The sequence below is a fragment of the Homo sapiens genome, chromosome 1 (genome assembly GCF_000001405.40).
Source record: "Homo sapiens chromosome 1, GRCh38.p14 Primary Assembly".
Taxonomy (NCBI): Eukaryota; Metazoa; Chordata; class Mammalia; order Primates; family Hominidae; genus Homo; species Homo sapiens.
Window position 1 is genome coordinate 150,314,737 of NC_000001.11, and position 21,775 is coordinate 150,336,511.

At 45.4% G+C, this 21,775-nt stretch overlaps 1 protein-coding gene across 14 annotated transcripts in view, besides 3 other annotated features; it reads left to right on the forward strand.

Annotated features, from left to right (window-relative positions):
- Nucleotides 5,911-6,476: an enhancer, noted in NCBI's record as "H3K27ac hESC enhancer chr1:150293095-150293660 (GRCh37/hg19 assembly coordinates)". NCBI's record gives its function as "activates a minimal SCP1, AML or CMV promoter by ChIP-STARR-seq in primed H9 embryonic stem cells {active_cell/tissue: H9 hESC(primed)}" and the evidence as "EXISTENCE:reporter gene assay evidence [ECO:0000049][PMID:30033119]".
- Nucleotides 6,606-6,655: an enhancer, noted in NCBI's record as "active region_1682". NCBI's record gives its function as "activates an Ori minimal core promoter by ATAC-STARR-seq in GM12878 lymphoblastoid cells {active_cell/tissue: GM12878}" and the evidence as "EXISTENCE:reporter gene assay evidence [ECO:0000049][PMID:35858748]".
- PRPF3 (pre-mRNA processing factor 3) overlaps nt 6,732-21,775 on the forward strand; it is a 31,766-nt gene continuing 16,722 nt past the window's right edge. For 9 of the 14 annotated variants that reach the window (NR_146766.1, NR_146768.1, NR_146769.1 and 6 more), the window contains exons 1-7: nt 6,732-6,856; nt 10,159-10,351; nt 11,015-11,145; nt 13,584-13,730; nt 17,948-18,031; nt 18,243-18,463; nt 20,199-20,505. Coding sequence is in view for 8 of the 14 variants with exons in the window: in XM_047434009.1 (XP_047289965.1) it covers nt 10,207-10,351; nt 11,015-11,145; nt 13,584-13,730; nt 17,948-18,031; nt 18,243-18,463; nt 20,199-20,505 (1,035 nt within the window). In the remaining 6 variants the exon portion in view is untranslated. Of the gene's footprint in view, nt 7,403-10,158; nt 10,352-11,014; nt 11,146-12,820; nt 12,917-13,583; nt 13,731-15,715; nt 15,763-17,947; nt 18,032-18,242; nt 18,464-20,198; nt 20,506-21,775 lie in introns of those variants that run through there. The other 5 variants (NR_146767.1, NM_001350529.1, XM_047433995.1 and 2 more) reach the window with 4 other exon arrangements.
- Nucleotides 6,846-6,895: an enhancer, noted in NCBI's record as "active region_1683". NCBI's record gives its function as "activates an Ori minimal core promoter by ATAC-STARR-seq in GM12878 lymphoblastoid cells {active_cell/tissue: GM12878}" and the evidence as "EXISTENCE:reporter gene assay evidence [ECO:0000049][PMID:35858748]".

The following is a 21,775-nucleotide window of genomic DNA, read 5'->3' on the forward strand; positions in this document are numbered from 1 at the left end:
TTTCTAACATGCCTTCCTTGATGCCTTTACCAACTTTGTATTATCTTTTTATGTCTTGAGTTTACCTTTATAAATTTGCTTCTATAATAGCACACTTTCTTTTTTTTTTTTTTGAGATGGAGTCTTGCTCTGTTGCCCAGGCTGGAGATCTCAGCTCACTGCAGCCTCCGCCTCCTGGGTTCCAGCAATTATTCTGCCTCAGCCTCCCAGGTAGCTGGGATTACAGGCACATGCCACCACGCTTGGCTAATTTTTGTATTTTTAGTAGAGACAGGGTTTTACTATGTTGGCCAGACTGGTCTCAATCTCCTAACCTCAGGTGATCCTCCCACCTCGGTCTCCCAAAGTGCTGGGATTACAGGCATAAGCCATCATGCCTGGCCTTTTTTACCACTGTATTCCCAGTGCTTTGTATAATGCCCAACATTTAAATGCTCAGTAAATATTTATTGAAGGAATCTATGACAACAGATACGATCTACTAAGTCTTAATATGTGCCAGGCCCGGTCCTAAATACGTTTTGTTTTATTGTGATAAAATATACATACACGAAATTTCTATTTTAATAATTTTAAGTATGCAATTCAGTACCATTAAGTAAATGTTGTATAATCATCACCACTGTTTCCAAAACTTTTCATCACCCAAAACAGGAACTCTGTACCCATTAGGCGTTAACTCCCCATTCATCTCTCTCCAGCGCCTCATGGCCTCTATTCTACTTTCTGTCTCTATTTGGCTATCCTAGTTACTTCACGAAAGTGGAATCATACAATATTTGCCCTTTTTGTCTAGCTTATTTCACTTAGCATCTGTGTTGTAGCATGTATCAGTACTTCATTTGTTTTTATGGCTGAATAATATTCCATTGTATGTATATACCATATTTTGTTTATCTACTCATCTGTTGATGGACACTTGGGTTGCGTCCATTATTTGGCTATTGTGAATAATGCTACTATAAACACAGGGGTACAGATATATCTTTGAGACCTTGTTTGCATTTCTTTGGGGTATATACCCAGAAGTAGAATTGCTGGGTCATCTGAAAATTCTATTTTTAATTTTTTGAGGAACTACTATACTGTTTTACATAGCAGCTGCACCATTTTATATTACCAATAGGGCACAAGAGTTCCAACTTGTTTCCTTCCTTCCTTCCTCCCTCCCTCGCTCCCTTCCTCCCTTCCTCCCTCTGGATCCTTCTTCCTTCCTTTTCTGTCACCCAGGCTGGAGTGCGGTGGCATAATCACAGTTCACTGCCACCTTGATCTCTCAGGCTCAAGCTATCCACCCACCTTGGCCTCCCAAAGTGCTGGGATTACAAGCATGAGCCACTGCACCTGACCTCTTTTATTTTATTTTATTTTATTTTATTTTTATAGTAGCCATCCTACTGGATGTGAAGTGGTATTTCCTTGTGGTTTGGCTTTGCATTTCCCTAATAACTAATGCTGTGGAGCATCTTTCCATGTGCTTATTTGCCATTTTTTGTCTTCTTTGAACATACATATATTCAAGTGTTTTACCTGTTTTTGAATTAGGTTGTTTTGACCAGCACGATGGCTTACACCTGTAATCCCAGCAGTTTGGGAGGCCGAAGCCAGTGGATCACTTGAGGCCAGGAGTTTGAGACCAGCCTGGCCAACATGGCAAAACTCTGTTTCTACTAAATATACATAAATTAGCCGGGCCTGGTGGCATGAGGCTGAGGCAGAAGAATTGCTTGAACCTGGGAGGCGGAGGTTACAGTGAGCCGAGATTGTGCTACTGCATTCCAGCCTGGGTGACTGAGCAGACTCTGTCTCAAAAAAAAAAAAAAAAGAATTAGGTTGTTTTGTTGTTGAGTTGTAAGTGTTCTTAATATATTCTGGATATTAATCTCTTATCAGATATATGACTTGCAAATATTCTCTCACATTCTGTGGGTTGCCTTTTCATTCTGTTGATAGTGTCATTTAATGCACAAAACTTTAAATTTTGATGAAGTCCAATTCATCTGTTTTTCCTTTGTTTGCCTGTATGTTTGGCATCATATCCAAGAAATTATCGCCAAATCCAATGTCAAAAAGATACACTCCTGTTCTCCTGTGTTTTCCTCTAAGAGTTTTACAGTTATTGCTCCTTAGTTTTAGGCATTTTTTGAGACAAGAGTCTCACCCCAGGCTGGGCGCAGTGGCTCACATCTGTAATCCCAGCAGTTTGGGAGGCCAAGGCAGGCAGATCCCTTGAGGCCAGGAGTTGCAGACCAGCCTGGCCAACATGGCGAAACCCCATCTCTACTAAAAATACACAAATTAGCCGGGCGTGATGTCGGGCACCTGTAATTCCAGCTACTCGGGAGGCTGAGGCATGAGAATTGCTTGAAACTGGGAGGCAGAGGTTGCAGTGAGCTGAGATCGCAACAGTGCACTCCAGCCTGGGGGATAGAGCGATACTGTGTCTCCGAAAAAAAAAAAAAAAAAAAAAAAAGAGTCTCACTCTGTGGCCCAGGCTGGAGTGCAGTGGGATAATCTTGAGTCACTGCAACCACTGCCTCCCAGGTTCAAGAGATTCTAGTGCCTCCCTCCTGAGTAGCTGGGATTACAGGCATGCACCACGATGCCCAGCTAATTTTTGTATTTTTAGTAGAGATGGGGTTTCACCATGTTGGGCAGGCTGGTCTAGAGCTCCTGGCCTCAAGTGATCCACCCACCTCAGCCTCCCAAAGTGCTGGGATTACAGATATGAACCACTGTGCCCAGCCCTACATTTATTTATTTGAGATAGAATCTCCTTCTGTCATCCAGGCTGGAGTGCAGTTGCATGGGATTATTGATGTGAGCCACTGTGCCCAGCCCTACTTTTATGTATGTATCTACTTATTTGAGACAGGGTCTCCCTCTGTCATCCAGGCTGGAGTGCAGTTGCGTGATCCCAGCTCACTGCAACCTCTGCCTCCTGGGTTCAAGCGATTCTCCTGCCTCAGTTTCCCAAGTAGTTGGGACTACAAGAGTGTGCCACCACACCTGGTAAATTTTTCTATTTTCAGAAGAGACGGGGATTGAGTCACCATGTTGGCCAGGCTGGTCTTGAACTCCTGACCTCAAGTCATCCTCCAGCCTCAGCCTCCCAAAATGCTGAAATTATAGGGGTGAGCCACTGTGCCCGACCTCTAGTTTTTGTATATTTCTTAAATTTAGGTCTTAGATCCATTTTGAATTAATTTTTGTATACGGTATGAGGTAGGGGGTCCAATTTAACTCTTATGTTTGTGGATATCTGCTTTTCCCAGCATCATTTGTTAAACAGACTGTCCTTTCCACATTGAATAGCCTTGGCACCTTTGTCAAAAATCAGCTGACCATGGCCAGGTGCAGGGGCTCATGCCTGTAATCCCAGCATTTTGGGAGGCTGAGGTGGGCAGATCACGAGGTCAAGAGTTTGAGACCAGCCTGGCCAATATGGTGAAACCCCTAATAAAAATACAAAAAAATTAGCTGGGCATGGTGGCATGCGCCTGTAGTCCCAGTTACTCGGGAGGCTGAGGCAGGAGAATTGGTTGAACCCAGGAGGTGGAGGTTGCAGTGAGCCAAGATTGAGCCACTGCACTCCAGCCTGGGCAACAGAGGGAGATTCCGTCTAAAAAAAAAAATGTCGAGCACGGTGGCTTATGCCTGTAATCCCAGCACTTTGGGAGGCCGAGGCAGGCAGATCGCCTGAGGTCCAGAGTTCGAGACGAGCCTGACTAACATGGAGATACCCCGTCTCTACTAAAAATACAAAATGAGGCCGGGTGCAGTGGCTCACGCCTGTAATCCCAGCGCTTTGGGAGGCCGAGGCGGGCAGATCACGAGGTCAGGAGATCTAGACCATCGTGGCTAACACGGTGAAACCCCGTCTCTACTAAAACCACAAAAAATTAGCCGGGCGTGGTGGCACACACCTGTAGTCCCAGCTACTCAGGAGGCTGAGGCAGAAGAATTGCTTGAACCCAGGAGGCGGAGGTTTCAGTGAGCTGAGACTGTGCCACTGCACTCCAGCCTGGGCAACAGAGCGAGACTCGTCTCAAAACAAAGAAGAAAAAAAATACAAAATTAGCCTGGCGTGGTGGCGCTTGCCTGTAATCCCAGCTACTCCAGAGGCTGAGGCAGGAGAATTGCTTGAACCTGGGAGGCGGAGGTTGCGGTGAGCCGAGATCGCGCCATTGTACTCCAGCCTGGCCAATGAGAGCGAAACTCCATCTCAAAAAAGAAAAAGAAAAAAAATACAGCTGACCATATATGTGAGTGTTTATTCTGGGCTCTCTATTCTTCCTTTTTTTTTTTTTTTTTTTTGAGACAGAGTCTCGTTCTGACACCAGGCTGGAACGCAGTGGTGCAATCTCGGCTGGCTGCAACCTCCACCTCCCGGGTTCAAGTGATTCTCCTGCCTCAGCCTCCGGAGTAGCTGGGACTACAGGCGCGTGCCACCACGCCCAGCTGATTTTTGTATTTTTAGTAGAGACGGGGTTTCACCATGTTGGCTAGCATGGTCTCGATCTCTTGGCCTCGTGATCTGCCCACCTCGGCCTCCCAAAGTGCTGGGATTACAGGCGTAAGCCACCGCGCCCGACCCTCTATTCTCTTTTGTTGGTTTACCTGCCTGTTCTTACGCCAGTACCACACTGTGTCTTACACATTACATTTAATCCTCACGATACCTTTTTGAAGTAGAGATTCTTATTCTATAATTGAGGAAACAATCTCAGAAAAAATTACCTGAAGGAAACACAGCTAGTAACCGGAAAGCTACAGTTTAAATGTATCCAATTCTAAAAATTGGAAATAAAATCAGTTTTGTTTTGTCGAGATGGAGTCTCCCTCTGTCGCCCAGGCTGCAGTGCAGTGGCGCGATCTTGGCTCACTGCAACCTCCACCTCCCGGGTTCAAGCAATTCTCCTGCCTCGGCCTCCTGAGTAGCTGGGATTACAGGTGCCCACCACCACACCCAGCTAATTTTTGCATTTTTTTTAGTAGGGATGGGGTTTCACCATGTCGGCAGACTGGTCTCAAACTCCTGACCTCAAGTGATCCACCCGCCTCGACCTCCCAAAGTGTTGGGATTACAGGCGTAAGCCACCACACCTGGCCTAAAACCAGTTTCTAGAAACACATTTCTCCATAGGGAATTGAACGCAGACTGTTAGAAGCACCAAAACAAAATAAATTTACAACAACCCTGCAATGTTGAAACTCATTAACCCATTCAACAGACTTTTTGAGTGAATATTTTGTGAGACATTGGTGTTAGAAGCTGTAGGTGGGGAAACTGATTTGTGAATAAGTTGAGCAGTAGGTTCAAACTCCCCCAACTTGTTCCTTCAGAGCCAGGCTTTATCCTGTTATGTCGTGCTGCCCCATCAGGGAAGGTGGGGCTTGGTATGTACATTGTTATCTTTAGATACAAAAATCTCCTACTATCTGGGGAATGTGAATAACCTCCCTGAAGAACAACTGCATCTTCTAGTCAGCCTACCACCAAGAAGACATTTTGGAACTTTAGTTTGGATAGTTTATAATATAAAAATAATGGAATTTTTTCCATTTCTCATATAAGAAATTGTGTCATAATACTGGACAATCTTTTTCCAAACTATCTTTGTCCACACACATGTTGTTATGAATCATCGATTTAAAGAGTCAGTAGGGGCCGGGCGCGGTGGTTCAACCCTGTAATCCCAGCACTTTGGGAGGCCGAGGTGGGCGGATCACGCGGTCAAGAGATGGAGACCATCCTGGCCAACATGGTGAAACCCCGTCTCTACTAAAAATACAAAAGTTAGCTGGACGTGGTGGTCGCGCGCCTGTAGTCCCATCTACTCGGGAGGCGGAAGTTTCAGTGAGCCGAATGCACTCCAGCCTGACGACAGAGCGAGACTCCGTCTCAAAAAATAAAAAATAAAAATAAAAAATAAAGGGTCAGTAGGTTAGAGCCTCATTTTGGAGAGAAGTTAATATATAGACCTATTGATAGAATGGAGAAAACAATACTGGTAGGTCTCACTTGTCATTTATTGAGCCCAAAGTGCTGGGATTACAGGCGTGAGCCACGGCGCCCGGCCTGACACCACTGTTAAATTAGGGAGAAAGGGTTTACTTTCTACCAGAAAGGCTGTGTTTGAACACAAACGCAGAAGCCTCGCTCTTCATTCTAGCCTAAGTTTACTTTTGCGCACTTATTCTCCATATGAGGAAAACAGCAAGTAGCCCAATTTCCGCTTCAGGAAGTTAAAGACATTAACTTGGCAGAAATCGGCCGGGCGCGGTGGCTCACGCCTGTAATCCCAGCACTTTGGAAGGCTGAGGCGGGCGGATCACGAGGCCAGGAGATCGAGACCATCCTGGCTAACACGGTGAAACCCCGGCTCTACTAAAAATACAAAAAATCAGCCGGGCGTGGTGGCGGGCGCCTGTAGTCCCAGCTACTCGGGAGGCTGAGGCAGGAGAATGGCGTGAACCCGGGAGGCGGAGCTCGCAGTGAGCCGAGATCGCGTCACTGCACTCCAACCTGGGCGACAGAGCGAGACTCCGTCTCAAAAAAAAAGCTAAAAAAAAAACCTTGGCAGAAATCTAGCTAATAGGTTTAGCCTGGGAAATAGAAAGCAAGGAAATTGCTCAGGGAAACTTTTCGGTTCTGCGACGCATGCGTTCAGCCTCCAAGAAAGTGGCAAATACGGCTGCGCGAATTGGCGGCCCGGCCCTCCTTGGTCACGTGTTGGGAGACAGCGGCGTGGCGGCGGCGGTGGCGGTAGCGACGGCACGCCGTAGGGCGGTCAGAAGGTTTCCGGTTCCGGTGTAACGTTCGGGCTCCGTCTCAGGGGCTGAAGTTTGTGAGGTGAGTAGTGGCCCCGGGCCCACAGAGGGTAATTCCAGTCCGCGCCACTGTGGCCGGGGACTCAGTCCAAGGGGAGGACCGAAGCGGGAGGGTTCAGCGGGAAGGAGTGTGAAAGGAGTACCTGGTTTGGTGGGAGAAGAGGTTGGAATGAGATTGTTGAGAGGAAAAGGGCGGGGGCGGGAAGGAGACCGGGTTGGGAGACCAGCTCTGGGGTGAGGAGTTTAGGTAGAACAAGGTAGAGTAAGAGACTGGTTGGAGTGACGGAGAGAGTAAAAATGAAGATTAGCGGGGGAGTGGGGGGCTGCAGAGGGAAACTCAGGTTGTAGCAAACAAGAGCACGGAGTAAGGAATTCCTTCTGAAGACTGGATTTGGATTCTGCTGCCTGCTCATTGAGAGGAGAGATCATTGTACCTCGCTTTCCTTCCGCACCCCCACTACCCCCGCACCTCGCAGTTATTGTTGAGCATTTGATTAGTGACAAGGCTAATTACCGTTTGAAACTTTTTTATCCATTGGCTGTTTAGTTTGCACGTCATCTTATGGAGGTAACAGTGGCACCTCATTTATTGCTTTGGGCTTTCAAATTGCTTATACTTTCTAGCCTATCATTCAATTCTAGTGGAATATAAGACCCGTTAAGGTGAGGACTCTTGTTAGTTTTGCTCACTGTTTTATGTATCCACCGCACCTAGTACATTGCTTGACACTTAGTAGTTACTCAATAAATATTTATTGAATGAATTAGGATGTAAATATGGCAGTACTCATTTTGTAAGATGGTAAACTGTGGCTCCAAAGAATTACTTAACTTGCCCAAGGGCTTGTAAATGGTGGGGCTCAGTGTCCCAACTGTTTCTGTGTGAACTCTTGTTTTCACTTTCTATGGCATCTGGATATGCCGCTTTTGTGCAATACATGTGTAATATGTAGAAATTGGTACGCTGTATGTCTACTCATTGTGGGGTAATAGAACCACCATAGAATTACTCACGTAACTTGTCACTGAGGCAGAAAATCTTTCAGTCTTAGTTTCATCACTTCAATCTACTAGCTTCCTTTGGATATACCAAAAGTGAGTCTATTTGGCATCAAGTCTTATAGACTCTAGTATAGAGGCTAAACTTACCAAGAATGTAGAAGTTAATCAGACTGGATTTTTTGGAGAAAAGATGTCTTAAAACATCTTGAAAGATGATTCCCAGATCTTTGATAAGTGGCACTGCTGGGAATAGCTGAGCTTGGAAATTGAGGTCAGTCAATTTATTGACTCCCATTTAGACACCTTTTTTTTTTTTCCCCGGGACGGAGTCTTGCTCTGTCGCCCAGGCTGGAGTGCAGTGGTGCGATCTCGGCTCACTGCAACCTCCGCCTTCCATGTTCAAGGGATTCTCCTGTCTCAGCCTCCAGAGTAGCTGGGATTACAGGTGCAGGTCACCACGCCCAGCTAATATTTGTATTTTTAATAGGGATGCGGTTTCACCATGTTGGCCAGGCTGGTCTCGAACTCCTGACGTCAGATAATCCACCCGCCTTGGCCTCCCAAAGTGTTGGGATTACAGGCGTGAGCCACCGCACCTGGCTTTTTTTTTTTTTTTTTTTTTTTTGGAGACACAGTTTCACTCTGTCGCTCAGGCTGGAGTGCACATGATTTTGGCTCACCGCAACCTCCGCCTCCTGGGTTCAAGTGATTTTCCTGCCTCTGCCTCATAAGTAGCTGGGATTACAGGTGCCCACCACCTCACCTGGCTAATTTTTGTATTTTTAGTAGAGACAGGTGCAGTGGGTCACGCCTGTAATCCCAGAACTTTCGGAGGTCAAGGTGGGCAGATCACTTGAGGTAAGGCATTACCTGGCCGATATGGTGAAACCGTGTCTTTATTAAAACTACGAAATTGGCCAGGCGTGGTGGTGCATGCCTGTAGTCCCAGCTACTTGGGAGGCTGAGGCAGGAGAATCAAGTGAACCCAGGAGATGGAGGTTGCAGTGAACCAAGATTACGCCACTGCACTCCAGCCTGGGCGACGGAGTGAGACTCTGTCTCAAAATAAAAATGAGGGTATTCTTTTCTGAGCTGAAGGATCATCAAGTCAGCTGATGGAGACCCTGTAGATTGAACATGATAATTACCTGTATGCAGAATTCCCACTGGGATGAATATGACCACAGAGAAATGTGACAGAACATTCTTTTTTTTTTTTTTTGAGACGGAGTCTTACTCTGTTGCCCAGGCTGGAGTGCAGTGGCGCGATCTTGGCTCACTGCAACCTCTGCTGCCTGGGTTCAAGTGATTCTCTTGTCTCAGCCTCCCGAGTAGCTGGGATTACAGGCGCCTGCCACCATGCCCAGCTAAATTTTTTTGTAGTTTTTAGTAGAGATGGGGTTTCACCATCTTGGCCAGGCTGGTCTTGAACTCCTGACCTCGTGATCCACCTGCCTCAGCCTCCCAAAGTGCTGGGATTACAGGCGTGAGCCACCGCGCCCGGCCAGAACATTCTTAAAGATCATGAGATTTAATTTAATATCTAAGATGACTGACCTGGATAAACCCTCTTTTACTTGCATACCTTAAAAGAAGGGAATCCTACATAAGTCAGGGTTGGGTTAGGGAATGCCTGCCTGGAAGTAGGAAGAATGGAAAAGCTGGCCTCTGGATGGGCTTTTTTAGTTCTGTTTTAGTGTTACTAGGTTTGCAAGTCCTTGTTGATATGACAGGATCAAGAAAGAAGCTAGAACTAATTTCTCAGACTTAGCTTATTCACAGAGTTTGTTTATTCCGCAGATTTCATTGATCAACTTAAGAGTTAGAATTAAAAATCAAATGGGATCTCTTTCTGCTTTGAGATATGGTTCTTGGGGAAAATATTTGCCTTCAAATGAGTTGGAAAAACTTGTCTAGGGATTGAGAATAGGGCTGGGGAATGCATTCCTGATGTACTAACCATTTCCCTGGATCACTTTAGTCTTTTTTTTTTTTGTAGAGAGAGTCTTGCTTTGTCGCCCAGGCTGGAGTGCAGTGGTGCGATTTTGACTTGTTGCAAGCTCTACCTCCCTGGTTATTCCCCTGCCTCAGCCTCCCAAGTAGCTGGGATTACAGGCACATGCCACCACGCCCAGCTAATTTTTTTGTATTTTTAGTAGAGGCAGGGTTTCACCATGTTGGCCAGACTGGTCTCGAACTCTTGACCCCAGGCAGTCCATCCACCTTGGCCTCCCAAAGTGCTGGGATTACAGGCATGAGCCACTGCACCCAGCCCACTTTAGTCTTTTCTTATTCTCTAACTTGTCTCTTTTTTTTTTTTAGGTGTAGTATTGAGTCCTGTTTGAGCTATTGTTCTCTTTTTCCTGAAAAATGGCACTGTCAAAGAGGGAGCTGGATGAGCTGAAACCATGGATAGAGAAGACAGTGAAGAGGGTCCTGGGTTTCTCAGAGCCTACGGTGGTCACAGCAGCATTGAACTGTGTGGGGAAGGGCATGGACAAGAAGAAGGCAGCCGGTATGTACCTTTCTGCATCTTTTATCTTAACATATAGGGTGACCCCAAACACTGCTTTGAACTTCCTCAAAATTCTCTCTGTTGGGAACATCTAAAAAAATGGCAGGCCATATTTTATTTTCACCTGTATTATAGTGAAAATAGGCTAAATAATAATTTGCTTTTTCTCTTAATTGCTTATTTTTTATGTTATTTATGATAGATTTTAAATCTTCGTTTGGCTACCATACTGAGTCACCTAAGTTAGATTTACTTAGGAAGTATGCTTAAGTCAGATAGGCATATTCAGATTCAGACTGAACATCTCAACATACAAAAATCTTTATGAAATACATGAAAAAGCTTGAAGGAGGTAGATTTTGTTAATGGTAGGCTTCTACAACTTGCTATTTGGGAAAGGTGAGGGTGGTTATTCATCTCAAACTTGATGTTCAAGGTAAACAGGTTGCTCTAACTGCACCACTTCCCACGCCAAAAAATTATAACTATTTTCACCTCACAGGGCAAGGTCATTTAGTGTAAGAGAGATGGGAATCCTACAAAAAACTTAAAATTTGTTTCACTCCTGGGAATAAAATTCCAGTGTTGGTACCTGTTATAGGCCTAGTATTAGACTGTGTACTCTTACCTTTCCAACCCTACCACCGCCTTTCTTCCTGTCAGATCATCTGAAACCTTTTCTTGATGATTCTACTCTCCGATTTGTGGACAAACTGTTTGAGGCTGTGGAGGAAGGCCGAAGCTCTAGGCATTCCAAGTCTAGCAGTGACAGGAGCAGAAAACGAGAGCTAAAGGTAGGTTACAATTTACTGTCTAATGAGCTCAGGACTGTTTTGAATGGTAACAGAGTTGCTGAGCTTACCAGTTCACACGTTGATATCCTCTATTTAGAGCAGCAAATGTTCAAGAGAGGTACTTAGACATTAGAGTAGGAGAGATGAATTAGTGTCATCACCATCTGAACTACCTCTAAGTTCATGGGTTGAAATATCCAAAGAAATAATTGGCAGCTTTGTCTTTTTTTAGATAACAGGAGTTTTGATTCTCATGTTTCTCCATATTTCCTTTTTTTCCTTCTTACTGTTACTTATAAACTGATTGCTCTAAGATTTTATCTTTGATTTATTTGAGGCCTAATAAGTTGTTTTAGAATGTGACTCCACTGGTACCTGAGCTGTACACCTCATTGTTGCCTCTTTGTAGAGGTTTCTCTGCAATGCACTTGTAGATAGAATACCAAAAAATAACTATTATTTATTATATTCTTGAGAGCTTACCATTTGCTCTATGGCATATTGCTGGTCCTCTGCTGCCATGAGTGAAACACTTGGAGGAGTTGTCAGTACCCCCTTAACTACTACACTTTTTATTCTGTAGTTGCCGACTGATCCTGGCCTCTTTCAGTATTAGCAGTATCAAGTAGCCTATTTTTCTACTCATTTCCCAGTATCTCTCTTTAGGAGAAAAAAAAAAGTTCTGTGACTCCTATCAAACCTTCCAAAGTTCTTCTGATACCTTGGCTATCCCATTACTTTTCCTGAGGGAAAAGAGTGAATAAGTAATGTCTGCTTGGTCCCCTGGCCAGGCTATGGAACTAAAAAAAAAAGCAGAGAGATTTGTGCCCTTTGTGTTTGGAGCATTGTAGGGTGGTCAGAGAAGGAGAGATAGTCCTTGCCTTAAAACAATTTGTAATTTGTCAGGCAGTGTGGCATGTGCCTGTAATCCTAGCTACTTGGGAAGCTGAGGCAAGAGGATCTCTTGAGCCCAGGAGTTACAATTTAGAAGAGGCAGGGGTATCACAAAATATATATTCACGTATTATAAAATCTAAGTAGCAGTTTCATGTAAATTTTAGGGTTGGTTATAGAATTTCAGACCTATGTTGAATTTTGTTATATTTAAGGTGGAATGATTGATCCACAGTATACACAGATCTGTACAGTGAAGATTATGTCACGATAGGGCATACTTCTTTTTTTTTTTCCTTTTTTTTTTTCTAAGGGTGAGTCTCACTCTGTCGCCCAGGCTGGAGTACAGTAGCGCAATCTTGACTCACTGCAACTTCCACCTCCCAGGTTCAAGTGATTCTCCTGCCTCAGCCTCCTGAGTAGCTGGGATTACAGGCACATGCCACCATGCCTGGCTAATTTTTGTATTTTTAGTAGAGACGGGGTTTCATCATGTTGATCAGGTTGGTCTCGAACTCCTGACCTCAAGATCTGCTCGCCTCGGCCTCCCAAAGTGCTGGAATTACAGGCATGAGCCACTGCGCCTGGCCAGTAGGGCATACTTCTGTATGAGTGCTGAGGGCATGCTGTGAATGAAGTGACTACATTGGGTGGGATTAATAAAAATGGCTTCTTGAAGGAGGTGTCTAGATAGCCTTGGGATACGGGTCCCATTTTTGGTCCATTCAGGTCCCCACCCCACACAATATATTATGGGAGAGTCCTTTTTCTTGAACTGTAGGAGTTCCAGGAAGCGCTCGCCCCTGGCCGAGGATATGTCCTTGCAAAACACGAGCCCTCCTAGTGAAGAGGGGATGTCACCCAAAGCCTACCACCGGTGTGTACATTTGCTTTTTCCCATTGTCCCTTCCAGTTGGCCACTCTCGGTCCTGTTAAATTCACCTTGCAAATTAGTCATCATATTTGAGTTTCCATTGTTTGATGAAAACAAAGTGTTAATGGGGATTACTGAAGAAGAAAGAGAAAGCCCCTGTCCTGGAAGAGCTTAGACTTAGTTGGGAAAACTATACTAACATTGAAATACTTAACACTTGGCAAACAGAATATCAACAATGTAATTTAACCTAATATGAACCAAGCTCTTACACGCTAAGAGAATGTGAAACAAAAGTTTAATCAGAGTGGGATAGGTTATAATGAGGAAAACTTCTTGGAGGAGGTGAGTTTTAGGCAGGATTTGGAACAGGGGTTGTGGAAAAGTTGAGAGAAATCATTATAAATGTGAGCAGTAGCATTTGCAAAGACCTTGAGATGGGAACATTTATAAGAACATGGGAATGAAATTTGTTTGACTGGATTAGGAGAATGTTGAAGTTGGGTGAGATGGAGAGTCTAGTAGACCCTGCTTCTGGCAGGTGGCTATTTGCAAGGTTGTGTCATATTCCCCTGGGAATAGCCAGAAAATGCTGGTAGGGGCTAGGATAATTCTTCCCTTCTCCCCACGGGGAGGGATACAGCTTTTCTTTCATCTTGGGTTCCCTTAGGAGGTGTTTGGTGATGACTCTGAGATCTCTAAAGAATCATCAGGAGTAAAGAAGCGACGAATACCCCGTTTTGAGGAGGTGGAAGAAGAGCCAGAGGTGATCCCTGGGCCTCCATCAGAGAGCCCTGGCATGCTGACTAAGCTCCAGGTTAGTGATTAGGGACTGGAAGCAAAGTGGTTTTGTGAGTTGAAGAAGCAAAAGGTGCATGGGTCTGTATTTATTGTGGAATTTTTTTTTTTTTTTTTTTTTTGAGGTGGAGTTTTGCTCTTGTCACCCAGGCTGGAATACAGTGGCGCGATCTCAGCTCACTGCAACCTCCGCCTCCCGGGTTCAAGCAAATCTCCTGTCTCAGCCTACTGAGTAGCTGGGATTAGAGGCACCCACCACCAAGCCTGGCTAATTTTTGTATTTTTAGTAGAGATGGGGTTTCACCATGTTGGCCAGGCTGGTCTTGAACTCCTGATGTCAGGTGATGCACTCACCTTGGCCTCTCAGAGTGCTAGAATTACAGGAGCGAGCCACTGCGCCCGGCTAATTTTTTGTATTTCTTTTAGTAGAGACAGGGTTTCACCATGTTGGGCAGGCTGGTCTTCAACTTCTGACCTCAGGTCATCTGCCCACCTTCGCCTCCCAGAGTGCTGGGATTATAGGCGTGAGCCAGCGTGCCTCGCCTTATTGTGATCTTGATTTGAATTAGTGTTTAGCATTTGGGGTAAACTTTTTTTTTTGAGATAGAGTTTCACTCTGTTGCCCATGCTGGAGTGTAGTGGCGTGATCTCAGCTCACGGCAACCTCCACCTCCCAGGTTCAAGCGATTCTCCTGCCTAAGCCTCCGGAGTAGCTGGGACTACATGCGAACACCACTACGCCTGGCTAATTTTTGTATTTTTAGTACAGATGGTATTTTGTCATGTTGGCCAGGCTGCTCTGGAACTCCTGGCCTCAAGTGATCTGCCACCTCAGCCGCCCAAATGGCTGGGATTACAGGTGTGAGCCACCATGCCAGGCCAGCATTTGGGAAAATTTTATTTCCTGCTTTATGTTTTAGCGTTCTTTGATTTGACCAGGAGTATTCTAGGTAAGGGTATTGAAATTGCCATTTACTGTGGCAAGCAAAGTGTGTTATGTACATTATTTGCCTAATTACCTATGTCGTTGAGTCATTGAGAAAATTAAATGAAATGATCAGAACTCATCTTAATGACAGAGGAGACTCTCCAAACATAATGCAAAGAAGATATAATCCACTGATAAATAATTTTAAGTTGACTTTATTTTTTTTTAACAGGAAGTATTTGTGTTTTTTCAATTGGCATTGTTAAATAATACCACATAAGTGTTTCTTTTACCATTTAATATTTGAGGGGGGTAATAGAACATATACAGAAATATGGGTGGGTGGATTTGCATATATGTGATATTTACAGAAGGAAAGAAATGGATTTTTTTTGTGTGTGTGTGTGAGATGTTCTCTCTGTCACTCAGGCTGGAGCGCAGTGGTGCGATCTCGGTTCACTGCAGCCTCTGCCTCCCAGGTTCAAGTGATTCTCCTGCCTCAGCCTCCTAAGTAGCTGGGATTATAGGCATGTGCCACCACGCACGGCTAATTTTTGTATTTTTAGTAGAGACAGGGTTTCACCATGTTGACCAGGCTGGTCTGGAACTCCTGACCTCAAGTGATCTGCCTACCTTGGCCTCCCAAATTGCTGGGATTATAGGCGTGAGCCACCGTACCTAGCCTGTTTTTGTTTTTCAGGCAAGGTCTCACTTTTTTGTCCAGGCTGGAGTTCAGTGGCGAGATCTTGGCTTACTGCAACCTCTGCCTCCCGGGCTTGAGTGATCCTCCCACCTTGGCTTCCCAAGTAGCTGGGACTACAGGTCACCATGCCTGGCTGATTTTTGTATTTTTTTTAAAGATTGAGTTCCACCATGTTGCCCAGGCTGGTCTTGAACTCCTGGGCTGAAATGATCCTCCTGCCTCAGCCTCCCAAAGTGCTGGACTTACAGGCGTGAGCTACCACGCCCAGCCAATTATTTTCTTTTTTGGGGGGTGGGGGATGGAGTCTTGCTCTGTCACTTAGGCTGGAGTACGGTGGCGCGTTCTCGGCTCACTGCAACCTCTGCCTCCCGGGTTCACGCCATTCTCCTGCCTCAGCCTCCTGAGTAGCTGGGACTACAGGTATGTACCACCATGCCCGACTAATTTTTTGTATTTTTAGTAGAGATGGGGTTTCACCATGTTAGCCAGGATGGTCTTGATCTCCTGACCTCGTGATCCACCCGCCTCGGCCTCCCAAAGTGCTGGGATTACAGGCATGAGCCACCGTGCCAGGCCCAATGATGTTTTTTATGGAGAATGGGGATGGACGTATTCACAACATATCCTTTTGTTATGTTTCTTTCTTTTTTTTTTTTGAGACGGAGTCTCACTCTGTCGCCCAGAGTGGAGTGTAATGGCGCTATCTCGGCTCACTGCAACCTCCGCCTCCCGGGTTCAAGCTATTCTTCTGCCTCAGTCCCTTGAGTAGCTGGGATTACAGGCACGCGCCACCACGCCTAGCTAATTTTTTTGTATGTTTAGTAGAGACGGGGTTTCACCATGTTGGTCAGGCTGGTCTCGAACTCCTGACCTCGTGATCCGCCCGGCTCGGCCTCCCAAAGTGCTGGGATTACAGACGTGAGCTGCCAGGCCCAGCCTGTAATTTTTCATTTTATTTTATTTTATTTTTTGAGACGGAGTCTCGCTCTTGCACTGTTGCCTAGGCTGGAGTGCAATGCCGTGATCTCAGCTCACTGCAACGTCCGCCTCCTGGGTTCCAGCAGTTCTCCTGCCTCAGCCTCCTGAGTAGCTGAGATTACAGAACGTGCATCACCATGTCCAGCTAATTTTTGTATTTTTAGTAGAGATGGGGTTTCACCCTGTTAGCCAGGATGGTCTCGATCTCCTGACCTCGTGATCCACCTGCCTCAGCCTCCCAAAGTATTGGGATTACAGGCGTGAGCCACCACGCCCAGCCCTGTAATTTTTAATTTTTTTATTTTCTTTCTTTCTTTACTTATTTAGAGATGGAGTCTCCCCCTGTTGTCCAGGCTGGAGTGCAGTGGCATGATCTTGGCTCACTGTAACCTCCACCTTCTGGATTCAAGCGCTTCTCCTGCCTCAGCCTCCTGAGTAGCTGGCATTACAGGCGCCCACCACCACACCCGGCTAATTTTTGTATTTTTACTAGAGACGGTGTTTCACCATGTTAGCCAGGCTGGTCTTCAGCTCCTGACCTCAAGTGATTCGCCCACCTCAGCCTCTCAAAGTGCTGGGATTACAGGCGTGAGCCACCATGCCTGACCCTTCCGTAATTTTTGAATTTTGAATATATCACCTATTCAAGAAAAAATGTTAAAGACAAATGTTTAAAAATATCTTGAAGCAGTTTAAGAACAGGTCTGTTTTGCAAAATGTAAGAGGAGTTGTTTGGCCATACCCTCAAAGCTTATCATTCTGAACTTCTTTAGGACAGAAGGGGTTTATAGAGACTAGGGAGCAGGTCTTTGCACCATCGTCTCTTGTTTCCCAAACTAGTAGTTCAAGTACTAATATCATGATTTTTTAAAAAAAATTAAGTATAGGCTGGGTGCGGTGGCTCACACCTGTAATCCCAGCACTTTGAGAGGCCGAGGTGGGCGGATCACGAGGTCAGGAGATCGAGACCATCCTGGCTAACAGGGTGAAACCCCATCTCTACTAAAAATACAAAAAATTAGCCGGGCGTGGTGGTGGGCGCCTATAGTCCCAGCTACTCGGGATGCTGAGGCAGGAGAATGGCATGAACCCGGGAGGCAGAGCTTGCAGTGAGCCAAGATCGCACCACTGCACTCCAGCCTGAGTGACAGAGCGAGACTCCATCTCAAAAAAAAAAAAGAAAATTAAGTATAATATTTTGTGTAGGTTCTGTTAGGTTTGCATGCATTATTTAAGTGGTTAACACTAGACCTGTAAGGTAGGTACTGTTTTCTTCCCCCTTCTAGACACTTAGGAGGTTTAGAGACTAAGTTCCTTATCCAAGATAACAAAGGCATTAAGTGGCAGAGTTAAGATTCAAACTCAGGTTTCTCTGACTCCAGAGTCTCAATCATCACACTATATTACTACCTAATATGCTAATCTTGCTTTAGGAACATGGGTTGAAAAATTCCAGTGCTCACTTATCTTGACTAAATTTTTTGCACTGTGGTGCAGGCAGAATGTGGTATAGTCATTCAAAACATTTTAAGTGTCTAGACCTGAGAGCCTTGTGGGTTTAAAAACCTGAATGGGAGAAGTAAGAAGGAGAAATTAACAGTTTTTCAATTTTTTTCCTGGAGAGCAGATCAAACAGATGATGGAGGCAGCAACACGACAAATCGAGGAGAGGAAAAAACAGCTGAGCTTCATTAGCCCCCCTACACCTCAGGTATTGTGTCTAGATTACTCTGAACAGAATAATCTTTGGCACAGAATTTCTTGCCATCCACTCAAAATGAGAGACTAGAAGAGGTGACTACATGTTTCACTTCATAATCATCTGCTACAGTCTACCATGATGTGTGTGTATATCTGTGTGTATGTATGTGTGTTTGTCTGCCTGTCTTAATTCCTCTGATTTCTTTTTCTCTATCTCACAGCCAAAGACTCCTTCTTCCTCCCAACCAGAACGACTTCCTATTGGCAACACTATTCAGCCCTCCCAGGCTGCCACTTTCATGAATGATGCCATTGAGAAGGCAAGGAAAGCAGCTGAACTGCAAGCTCGAATCCAAGCCCAGCTGGCACTGAAGCCAGGACTCATCGGCAATGCCAACATGGTGGGCCTGGCTAATCTCCATGCCATGGGCATTGCTCCCCCGTGAGTGTCTATTTCATGGAATACCTTTTCATTTCTGAAGTTTGAGAAGCAATAAATACCTTTGAATGTTACTGATCTGGCTGGGCGCAGTGCCTCAGGCCTGTAATCGTAGCACTTTGGGAGGCTGAGGTAGGTGGATCACCTGAGGTCAGGAGTCAGGAGTTCGAGACCAGCCTGGCCAATATGGTGAAAACCCATCTCTACTAAAAATACAAAAATTAGCCAGGCGTGGTGGTGCATGCCTGTAATCCCAGCTACTCGGGAGGCTGAGGCAGGAGAATCGCTTGAACACAGGAGGCAGAGGTTGCAGTGAGCTGAGATCGTGCCACTGCGTGGGTGACAGAGGGAGACTCCGGCTCAAAGAAAACAACAAACAAAATATTACTGATCCTCTTTTTCCACAGAACCTAGATCATTTCTCACAGTTTCATATTTCTTAGGTGTGATTGATTAACCAGTTGAATTTTTTCTCGTCTTCCCTGTTGGAGGGTTTATTATCTTCTTATGATTTATATAACTGAGATTAAGGTTATTCATCTAATGTTGGAGCTAGGAGTATAGCCAGGTTTCCTTCCTGGTTTCAAACTCAGATTTATCCATTAAACCACATTGTGTGAGACTAGATCTGAGGTTCCTCTGCAACTGGTCAAAGATGTTACATTTTTTTTAGCATCTACAGTTGGTCTGGCATCCCATGAGTGACATAAGAATTCAGGGATAAGGAAAGATAGGATTATAAATTCATATAATTTATAAACTCATTTCATTTGGTTGTCCTGTATACTGAAATATCCACTTTGATATTTTTAATCAAGATACTATTGGCAGGGCGCGGTGGCTCACACCTGTAATCCCAGCACTTTGGGAGGCCGAGACTGGCAGATTGCTTGAGCTCAGGAGTTCAAGACCAGCCTAGGCAACATGGCAAAACCCCATCTCTCTAAAATATACAAAAATTAGCCAGGCATGGTAGAGCATGCGTGTAGTTCCAGCTACTTAGGAGGCTGAGGTGGGAGAATTTCTTTGGGCCTGGGAGGTTGAGGTTGCAATGAGCTGTGATTGTGCCACTGTACTTTAGCCTGGGCAGCAGAGTGAGACCATGTCTCAAAAAAAAAGATGGTATTGCTCACTGATGAGATTGTTCCCTAGAATTATTTTATTGTCCTTTTTGTTGTTGTTGTTGTTGAGAGGGAGTCTCACTCTGTCACCCAGGCTGGAGTGCAGTGATCTCGGCTCCCTGCAACCTCTGCCTCCCAGGTTCAGTAGCTGGGACTACAAGTGCCCGTCTAAATTTTGTATTTTTTGTAGAGATGGGGTTTCACTGTGTTGCCAAGGCTGGTCTTGAACTCCTGGGCTCAAGCCATCCACCCGCCTCAGCCTCCCAAAGTGCTGGGATTACAGTGTGAGCCACCACACCCGTCCATCCAAATAACTCTTATAGAGAAGGCACTGCAGCCTCAACTTCCTGGGCTCAAGTGATCCTCCTCAACCTCCTGAGTAGGTGGGACCACAGGTATATGCCACCGCACCCAGCTAATTTTAAATTTTTTGTTGAGATGCAGTCTCCTTGTGTTGGCCAGACTGGTCTTTAACTCCTGGGCTCAAGTGATCCCTCTGCCTTGGCCTCCCAAAATGCTGTGGTTCCAGGCTTGAGCCACCACGCCTGGCTTTATTTTGTTTTTTGCTTGCCTTAATGTTCCATACAGGATTTATTTCTTTGCGGGCTATTTTTCAGGAAGGTGGAGTTAAAAGACCAAACGAAACCTACACCACTGATCCTGGATGAGCAAGGGCGCACTGTAGATGCAACAGGCAAGGAGATTGAGCTGACACACCGCATGCCTACTCTGAAAGCCAATATTCGTGCTGTGAAGAGGGAACAATTCAAGCAACAACTAAAGGAAAAGCCATCAGAAGACATGGAATCCAATACCTTTTTTGACCCCCGAGTCTCCATTGCCCCTTCCCAGCGCCAGAGACGCACTTTTAAATTCCATGACAAGGGCAAATTTGAGAAGATTGCTCAGCGATTACGGACAAAGGTATCTGGCTTAGAGTATAACACAGAATTTGGAAAAAGTTAAGAAGCTGACAAGAAAACATTGTTAAATCTCTGTGTTCTAGGAAATTAGATAAATAGGTCATTTAAAGCAGCAGTCCTCAACCTTTTTGGCACCAGGGACTTGTTTCATGGAAGATAATTTTTCCCCTGGAGTAAGGATGGTTTCGTGATGGTTCAAGCACATAGCATTTATTGTGTACTTTATTATTATTATTTTTTTCGAGATGGAGTGTCGCTCTTGTTGCCCAGGCTGGAGTGCAATGGGGCGATCTCGGCTTGCTGCAACCTTTGCCTCCCAGGTTCAAGTGATTCTCCTGCCTCAGCCTCCCGAGTAGCTGGGATCACAGGCATGTGCCACCACGCCTGGCTAATTTTGTATTTTTGGTGGAGACGGGGTTTCTCCGTGTTGGTCAGGCTGGTCTCGAACTCCTGACCTCAGGTGATCTGCCCACTTTGTCCTCCCAAAGTGCTGGGATTACAGGCGTGAGCCACCGCCCCCGCCTTTTTTTTTTTTGGGCGGGGAGGGGGATGGAGTCTTGCACTGTTACCTGGGCTGGAGTGCAGTGGTACAGTCTCAGCTCACTGCAACCTCTGCCTCCTGGGTTCAAGCAATTCTCCTGCCTCAGCCTCCTGAGTAGCTGGGACTGCAGGCATGCGCCGCCATGCCTGACGAATTTTTTGTATTTTTAGTAGAGACAGGGTTTCACTATGTTGGCCCGGCTGGTCTTAAACTCCTGACCTTGTGATCTGCCTGCCTTGACCTCCCAAAGTGCTGGGATTATAGGCGTGAGCCACTGTGCTGGCCTATTTCTATTATTATTTTATTGTAATATATGATGAAATAATTATATAACTCACCATAATATAAAATCACTGGGAGCCTTGAGCTTGTTTTCCTGCTGAAATGGTCCCATTTGGGTGTGATGGGAGACAGTGACAGATCATCAGGCATTAGATTCTCATAAGGAATGTGCAACATAGCCCCCTCACATGTACAGTTCACAATAGGGTTCGCGCTCCTCTGAGAATCTCATGCCACCGATGATCTGACAGGAGGTGGAGCTCAGGCCATAATGCAGGTAATAGGGAGCAATCGTAAGTACAGATGAGACTGTTGGCTTGCCTGCTGCTCACCTCCTGTTGTGCAGCCCAGTTCCTAAAAGACTGTTGGGTTGGGGACCCCTGATTTAAAGCAATGAATACTTTGAAAAATGTGCTGGACAAGATGGCTCAAGCCTGTAATCCCAGCG